The following is a 9,501-nucleotide window of genomic DNA, read 5'->3' as shown; positions in this document are numbered from 1 at the left end:
ATTTCTCTGATGATGTACCTTTTCATATGGCTGTTTGCTATTTGTATGTCTTCCTTCTGAGACGTGTCTACTCAAATCTTTTGCCTCCTTTTTGTTCGGAGTATTAGTTTTTTTTTTTTTTTTTTTTTTTTCCTGTAGGTTTGTTAGAGCTCCTGTTATATTCTTGTTATTAATCCCTTGTCAGATGGGTAGTTTGCAAATATTTTCTCCCATTCTGTGGGCTTTCCCTTCACTTTGTTTATTGTATCCTTTGCTGTGTAGAAGCTTTTTAACTTGATGTGATCTCATTTGTCCCCATTTTTGCTTCTGTTGTCTGTATTTGTGGGGTATTGCCATAGAATTCTTGCCCAGACAAGTGTCCTGTAGATTTTCCTCAATATTTTCTTTTCATAGTTTCATAGTTTAAGGTCTTAGATTTAAGTCTTTAATCCATTTTTATTTGATTTTTGTATATGGTGATACATAAAAGTCTAGTTTAATTCTTCTGCCTATGAATATCAAGTTTTCCCAGCACAATTTATTAAAGAGACTGTCTCTTCCCCAGTGTATTTTTTGGTAGCTTTGTCAAAAATGAGTTCACTGTGGATGTGTGTATTGGTTTCTGAGTTCTCTATTCTGTTCCATTCGTCTATGTGTTTGTTTTTTATGTCAGTACCATGCTGTTTTGATTACTATAGCTCTGTAGCATAACTTGAGGTCAAGTAATGTTATTCTTCCAGTATGTTTTTTCTTTTTGCTTAGAATAACTTTGGCTATTCTGGGTCTTTTGTGATTCCATATAAATTTTAGTATTTGTTTCTTTTTCTCTGAAGAGTATGATAGGTATTTTGATAGGGATTGCATCAAATCTGTAGATTGCTTTGGGTAGTATGAACATGTTAACAATATTGATTCTGAAAATCCATGAACATGAAATATATTTCCGTTTTTTGGTGTTTTCTTCAATTTCTTTCATCAGTGTTTTGTATGGTTAAGTTAACTCCTATGTATTTAATTTTATGTGTGGCTATCATAAATGGGATTACTTTTTAAACTTCTTTTTTCACATTGTTCATTGTTGGAATATAGTGATGCTACTGACTGTTTCATGTTGATTTTCTATCCTGCAACTTTACTAAATGAATCAGTTCTAAGAGTTTCCTCGTGGAGTCTTTAGGTTTTTCCAAATATAAGATAATTTCTTCTGCAAACAAGACAGTTTGACTTCTTCCTTTCCAATTTGGATGCCCTTTATTTATTTCTCTTGTCTGATTGCTCTAGTTAGGGCTTCCAGTAACATGTTGAATAACAATGATGACACTGGGCATCCTTGTCGTGTTCCAGATCTTAAAGGAAAGGCTTTCAGATTTTTCTCATTCAGTATGATACTAGCTGAATGGTCTGTCACATATGGTTTTTATTAAGTTGAGGCATGTTCTTCCATCCCAGTTTTTTGAGGGCTTTTATCATGAAGGGATGTTGAATTCATGAAGGGATGTTGAATATGATGAAGGATATTTATCATGAAGGGATGTTGATGTCCTGGAATCAGGGACACCAAGAGCCTGCTTGGTGCTCTACCCACTGTAGGTCTCCTGATACCTAAGGTGCAAGACAAAGTCCCTTTTACTTTACTCTCTGCTTTTCTTAAGAAGAAGGAGTTTTGCACCATAACCACTACAGCTGAGAATGTGCTGAGTCTCACCTGAAGCCAGCAAATCTCAGAGGCTCTTTCAAGGATCTTGATGTAATACCTAGGTATTGCTGCTGATTATTCAGGGCCCAAGAGCTCTCCAGTTAGCAACTGAAGAATCCTTCCAGGACTGGGTCCTTCCCTTCAAGGCAGAGAGTTCCCTTCTGGCCGAGAGTGTGTCTGAAAATGTCATCTGCTAGCTAGGGTCTGGAATGGGAGCCTCATGTCTCTGATCATTGCCTTATCCTACTATTGCTGAGCTGGTATCCAAGATGCAAGATTAAGTCCTCCCCACATTTCCCTCTCCTCTCCTCTCCTGTCCTCTCTTCTCCTCTTCAAGTAGAAGGAAGGGGTCTGTTTTGGAGCCATGTGAGCTGTGCAGCCTGGGTTTAGGGAGGGGCAATGCCAGCACTTTCTCAGTTGCCCCAACTGGTGTCTCAGTATGTTGCATGTCACCCAGGTCCACTGTCTCTGGGCGTACTTCAGCCTTAGGACTCATCTAGGTTTTGCCATCCTTGTGGTCTAGAATGCCTTTCAAATTTACTTGAAAGCACAGAACACGGCAGCCCTGGGTGGCAAGGTTTGCCGGCACTCAAGTTTGAACCTCTAGAATTGGCGATTCCCCTATGGCTAGGGCTGGTTTAAATGCTCCCTCTGCGGGCAGGCATCACCTCAAGTTGGTCCAGTTTTTCTTTCAGCTCTAACAGGACAGCACTGAGTTCAATCCCTCAAAATTGCTGTATTTTCCACCTCTCAGCATCCAGAGAAGCTCTCTGATCACACAAGTGATACTGGGGGTCGGGGAGGTATGGTGTTGAGACTCAAGACTGTTTTTGCTATCTTCTCAGTGCCTCTTTCAGTGATATGAAGTTAAAACCTAATACTATGAGTACTCACCTGATTTTTGGTTCTTACGAAAGTGTTTTATGTGTGTGTGTGTGTGTAAATACTTGTTAAATTTGTGTTTTTCTGGGGGTGGAGGTAGGTGATCAGTGGAGAGTTCTATTCCTCCATTTTGCTCTGCCTCGCTCTCTAATGTATTCTTAATGCAGACATTCTTTTATAAAAAAAGATGAGGAGATTCTAACAGCCTCTATCAGTTATATATGTTAATGGAAATGGGAAATAGTTAAGAGAATTTCAAACTTCAAGCAAGCTTCCTATTATCTACATATTGCTCTGAGATATTTATGTTTAGCTCTGATCAGAGTATGTGTAAGATTGATGCTAATTAAATGAGAAATGATTCACAACAAATAAAAGAGCTCTAAGAAAAAGGACATGGTACTTGCTTATATCTTCATCTTTTGAGGCAGAGGGACAGAACTGTACAACTTCTCTGGTTGATCAATACAATGTATGAGAAAGAGCTCACCCGCCCTCCCATTGTTTTATTTTGCCTTCATCCTCACCTTCTACCCTCTCTAAACTTTATGCCTTACATCTGTCTTCCTTTGAAGTAATCAGAGAACATGTAGAATTACAGCGAGTCATATTTATCTTTTCTTATAATTTAACTACAAGCTTTATGTGAAAATAATAAGACCACACAACTGGTTCTATAAAAGATGGCATAAAATGACATCAGACCAAATCACTGTAAATCACACACACACACACACATACACACACTTTAAAAAACTATAAAATCCCGGCGGAATATCTCCAAGCAATCAGGTGTCTGTTTTATATTTTCTGGATAACACATAAAATTATTGAAATAAGGGAGGTACAAGAGTTGAACTTCACTTTTACTGTGGCTTTTGTCCTGAGAACCCACGAAAACAGGGATCAGCAAATTACATTCCCCACTAAAATATTTGTCAATCCCTGCTCTAAAATGTGGTGTAGGAAAATAGGTTGTTAAGCAGAGAACAGTGGTCTCTGCAGGCAGGGAACATAGATTTAGTATTGAGAACTGGCCAGACAGTTGGGATTTGGGAAACCTGGTCCTAGAGAGAAGGAAGCAAGAAAGAGTCTCCAAAAATCTTTGTAAACAACCTTGTTAATGTCTTTACCAACTCCTACACATCTACAGGGGAAAACTTCAGGAGGTCTGGAAGGCAGAACCACTGGGAAGCTGGAGATCCAGGCAAACATTTCAGAGCTTATACAGTATTGGGGAGATAGAGCTTAAGTTGTTGTTTTTTCTATTTATATGCCTCCATTTTGGATGAGAGAGCTTAAGTTCTGTGCCCAACTAAAGAGACATTGATAGACACTGTGGGGTTCAGTTGAAACTCCAATGAAGGCATAATCTAGGATTATGATCATGCCATATTTTTAAGAAAAAAAAAATACTCAACAAAGCCTAAAACCAAAGTTTGATACAAAGTGATTCACTTGTATTACCTGACTGATCACTGTCCGACAGATCTCTTTTGGAGCCATGTGAGCTGTGCAGCCTGGGTTTAGGGATGGGTGATGCCACCGCTTCCTTGACTGCCCCAGCTGGTGTCTCAGTATGTCGCATGTCCCCCAGGTCCACTGTCTCTGGGCGTACTTCAGAATGCTCCTTAAATAAAAGTTATATAATATATACCCACCACATATCTTCCATGATATCCAATGCAATAAAAAAACTATGAAAGAAAGAAAAAGCAGCAGCTAATAAAGAGGAAAAAAAGACAGTAAAATTATGACCGAAGATGTTCAAAACACTGGATATTGTAGACAAAGGCATCAGCATAACTATAATCCTATGTTAGAGACAACTGAGAATCCATTTAAAAAGTCATATGGACATTTTTGGGATGGCAAAATACAATATTTGAACTTAAGAACTTGGGTGGTTTTAAGAGGAGAGTGGAGATAGAAGAAAAAATGATTTGAAAAGTAAAAGACAAATTAATGGAAGAGATCCAGAGTAGACAGAAAAGAACAAAAAATAGTTTCTAAGAAATGTGAACTACGGTCATATATATAATATACATTTATTTTTGAGTTCCTAAAAAAAAGAATGTTAACACTGAGCATAAATAACATTTGAAAAAATATTGTTCAGTATTTTTCTTAATATGATCAAAACATCAACCCACAGATTCAAAAAATTTAGCAAGCCCGGTACAGAATAAATAAATACAAACAAACCATACCTAAGCATATGATAGTCAAAAAGCTGACATCTTAAACGTAGCCAGATTAAAAAATTTTAAAAAAATTTAAAAGGAAGGAATAATAGACCAATGATAAACCTTTTAAAAAATCTAAAAAAATTCAGATAATCTTTAAAGAGATAAAAGTGCTGCCAACTCAGAATTATATGCGGATAAACTCTTCTTCAGTAAGTAAAGTTTTTTGAAAGGAATTGTGTTTTTTTATTAAAAAGCTCATATTTTTCAATAGTTTCTTGCCAGCAGGATGAAATTATTTAAATTAAAGAGAAAATTATCACAAATGAAAGCACAAAACTCTAAGAAAAAAAAATACAAAAAGACTAGAAAGTTAAGTACAGTGATAAATATAATTGAATATTAGCTATTTATTAAAAGAAAAATAATAATATCCTATGAAGTTTATAATATATTAAAATTATATTTAGCACAAAAGATTAGGAAGTGGTAAGTGAAGTTATAATGTTGTAAGTTTCTTACATTCTCTGGGAAGCAGCAAATAAATGAATTTAATCAATAGTGTGAATAAACCTAGGACACATAATTTAATCTATAGAGTAACCATTAAAAGAATAAAATGAGTAACAAAATCAAATGTGATTAAAGAGCTAATAAAGAAATAAAATGAAACAATTAAAATACTTAATCTCGAAGAATGTGACAAAAATGAAAGAAATGAAAACATATAAAAAAAGAAAAATAGTAGACTTGATTGCAACTTGAACAGTTGTCATATTATATGTATCTGGCAGAGAATTTCCAATTTCAGTTCCAATATATAGAGTTGAAAGTTGTCACTGCTATCCTGAGAACAAGAAAAATCAAGAGAAACATTTAGCAATAATTTTCCTATGGCCATCACAGAACTAAGTTCACAGAGCAGACTGCCACCTCAAATCAGAGAAGAACAGCTGAGATATATGCTCTCCTGGAGTCATAAATTTGTAATCACCTAAGTAGCAATTTTGATAAATGGCTGAAGGTTGAGTGTGAACAAGCTATACGGTGTGAAACTCCCATTGCAGTCTTAAGGGACGTCCTACATTATGGTGAGTTTTATCATCAGGATTCCCACCAAGTTCTCATAGTGAAAAGCCAGAGATCCCCTCATATCTCTAGCAGGGAAGGTGACAAGTAACCACTGTAAAATATATCTAGGTAGCCTAACTCATTACTCACATTCAACGTTGTACCGGAAGCACTAACTAATGCGAGCTTAAAGAAGAACCAAGTTGGAAAAGTTACAGCACTAGATTTCTGGACTTTACATAACCCTACAGTAATTAAGGCAGTATAAGATTAGGGTAAGGTAGCACAATTAGACCAAAGAAATTAAGTAGAAATCCTGGAAATATACCTACATATATGCATATTTAATATTTCATAAATGAGATATTATTATATGTAAAGGGAAAATAAGTGGATATTCAATAAATGTTGCTGGCGTAAATGAAAAAAATGGGAAAAATTAACTGATGCCTATCTTATACCATATACAAAAATAATCCAATATGAATTGAAAATGTATATGTGAAAGCTAAAATCATAAATCTTCTAGGCGAAAATGTTAGAGAATATCTTCACTACTTTGCAAATACAAATATTTTTATTTCACATAGCATTAAAAAATAATAACTGTACTAAAGAAGAGAGAAAAATGACAAAACACTGTAGCCAAAGAGATAAAAACATAAAAAACCCCCAAAACCCACTACTTAGAAAAAACAAACAACTCATCTTAAAAAAATTGCCAAAGCCACAAATGGGTTATCATATCAAGTTCATCAGCTGAATAACTAATAAAAAATGAGCAGGATTAATCACCAGAGATACAAATCATTAACAGAATGCCATACAACTATGCGTCAACAGAATAACTAATATTAAAAAGATTGACAATACCAAGGGTTACCAATGTGGTGTCAATTACATCACTAGTACATTTGTACCATCACTTCGGAAAACAATTGGAAAATTTCTAAGAAAGCTAAAATAAGTATACTCTATACTATATGATTTCATTAACATGGATTTTATAGAGGGCAAACTAAGCTGTTGTGTTAGTGGCCAGAATAGTGATTACATTTAAAAAGGGGATAATGTTTCGAAGTGGAATAATAGATCCTTTTTGGTCTTGAAAGATGTTCAAAATTTTAATCAAAATAGTAGTTACAGGTACTAATCATATGTAAAAGTTTATAAAGCTATACATCTAAGGTATACACACATTATATGTTATTTCTTAATCTAAAAACAATAAGAAAAACAGATAGTAGCAATTGTAATATAGGTAAGCTGTGTAGGTGATGATAAAAATTGAAATGTGAATTAATGTATGTAAATATCAATGTATATAAGTCAGCTGCTAATGATTCTTTCTATACCTAGGTCTCTGCTTTTATCTCTCATAATTAACTTTTCAGTATTGATACACAGAAGAAAAATAAGGTGAAATGATAAGCATATAGTCACATAAGTAAATTTCTAATTTTGTTCCTTTTATTTTTAGGTGACACATAATAATAGTACATATTTATGGGATACAGTGATATGTTGATAGATGCATACAGGATATAATGATGAAATCAGGGTAAGTAACATATCCATCACCTCAAATATTTATCAATCCTTTGTGTTTTGAACATTCAATATCCTCTCTTTTAGCTTTTGAACATATACATTATTGTTCACTATATTCACCATGCAGTGCTATAGAGCACTAGAAATTATTCCTTCCATCTAGCTACAATTTTGTTCCTATTAACCAACCTCTGTTTCTACTTGTCATTTTTATGCTTCCCAGCCTATAGTAACCATAATTTTAATCTCCCTTCTATAAGCTCAACTTTTTTTTAGTTCTCACATATGAATTAGAATATGCAGTATTTTTCTTTTTGTGCTTGACTTCTTTCACTTAACACAATGTCCTCCAGGGTTATCCATGTTGCCATGAATGACAACATTTTATTTTTATTGTGACTCAATAGTATTCAGTTGTGTATGTACACCACGTTTTTTATCTATTCATCTGTTAATGAACTTTTAGGTTGATTTCATATATTAACTATTGTGAATAATTTTGCAATAAACATGGGGTTGCAGATATTGCATCAATATACTGATTTTCTTTCCTTTGAATAAGTACCCAGCAGTGGGATTGCTGCATCGTTTGGTAGTCTGAGTTTTTCAAGAAATCTCCATACTGTTTTCCATACTGGTTGTACTAATTTACATTCCCACCAGCAGTGTGTAAGAGTTCCCTTTTCTCTACATCCTTGCCAGCATTTGTTATTTTTGTCTTTTTTATAATAGCCATTCTAACTGGAGTGATATAAGATCTCCTGGTTTTGATTTGCATTTACCTGATGATTAATTATGGTGAAGATTATTTCATAAATGTGTCGGCCATTTCCATATCTTTTCTTTGAGAAATTCTATGAAAATTCTTTGCCCACTTTTAAACCAGATTATTCATTTTTTCCTGTTAAGTTGTTGGAATTTCTCACACATTTTGGATATTACTCTCTTGTTGAATGTATAGCCTGCAAACATTTTCTCTTATTCTGTGGGTTGTCTCTTTACTCTGTTGATTGCTTCCTTTGCTATGTAGAAGCTTCTTAGCTTAATATAGTCCCATTTGTTTTTGCTTTTGTTGCCTGTACTTCTGAAATCTTAGCCATAAAATATTTGCCTAGACCTATGTCTTGAAGAGTTTTTTTGTTTCCTTCTTATAGTTTTATAGTTTTAAGTTGGACATTTAAGTCTTTAATTCATGTTGAGTTGACTTTTGTATACGATGAGAGATAGGTTCAGTTTTATTCTTCAGCATATGGTTAGTCAGTTTTCTCAGCACCATTTATTAAAGAAGCTGCTCTTTCCTTAATGTAGGTTCTTGGCAGCTTTGTCAAAAATAATAGGCTGTAAATATGTGGATTTATTTCTGGGCTTTTTATTCTGTTCCACTTGTCTATGTGTCTACTTTTATAGTAATACCACTCTGTTCTGGTTACTATTGCCTTGTAATAAGTTTTGATGTCAGGAGTGTTATGCCTCCAGCTTTGTTCTTTTTGCTCAGTATTGCTTCAACTATTTGGGGTCTTATGTGGTTCCATACAAATTTTAGGGTTATTTTTTCTAATTCTGGGAAGACTGTCATTGATATTTTGATAAGTATTTCAATGAATTGGTAGATTACTTTGGGTAGAATAGTCATTTTCATGATATTAATTCTTCCAATCCATGAACATGAGATGTTTTTTCGTTGTTTTTGTGTGTCTTCTTCAATTTCTTTTATCAGTATTTTATACTTTTCCTTTTAAAGATTTTTCAACTCCTTGTTTGAATATTTTATTCTATTTGTCTGTAACTACTGTAAATGGCATTGCTTTCTTGATATCTTTTTCAGTTGGTTTTTTATCTGCACATTGAAATGCTACTGATTTTGTTAATGTTGATTTAGTATCATGCAAATTTACTGTATTAGTCTATTCTCAAGTTGCTAATAAAGACATACCCAAGACTGGGTAATTTATAAAGGAAAGATGTTTAATTGACTCACTGCTCAGCATGACTGGGGAAGCCTCAGGAGACTTACAATCATGGCAGAAGGGGAAGCAAACACATCTTTCTTCACATGGCAGCAGCAAGGGGAAATGTTGATGAAAAGGGAGAAAGCCTGTTATAAAACCATCAGCCCTTTTGAGAACTCACTCACTA

This window comes from Homo sapiens, chromosome 5 (assembly GCF_000001405.40).
Source record: "Homo sapiens chromosome 5, GRCh38.p14 Primary Assembly".
Taxonomy (NCBI): Eukaryota; Metazoa; Chordata; class Mammalia; order Primates; family Hominidae; genus Homo; species Homo sapiens.
This window is presented reverse-complemented; position numbering follows the sequence as displayed.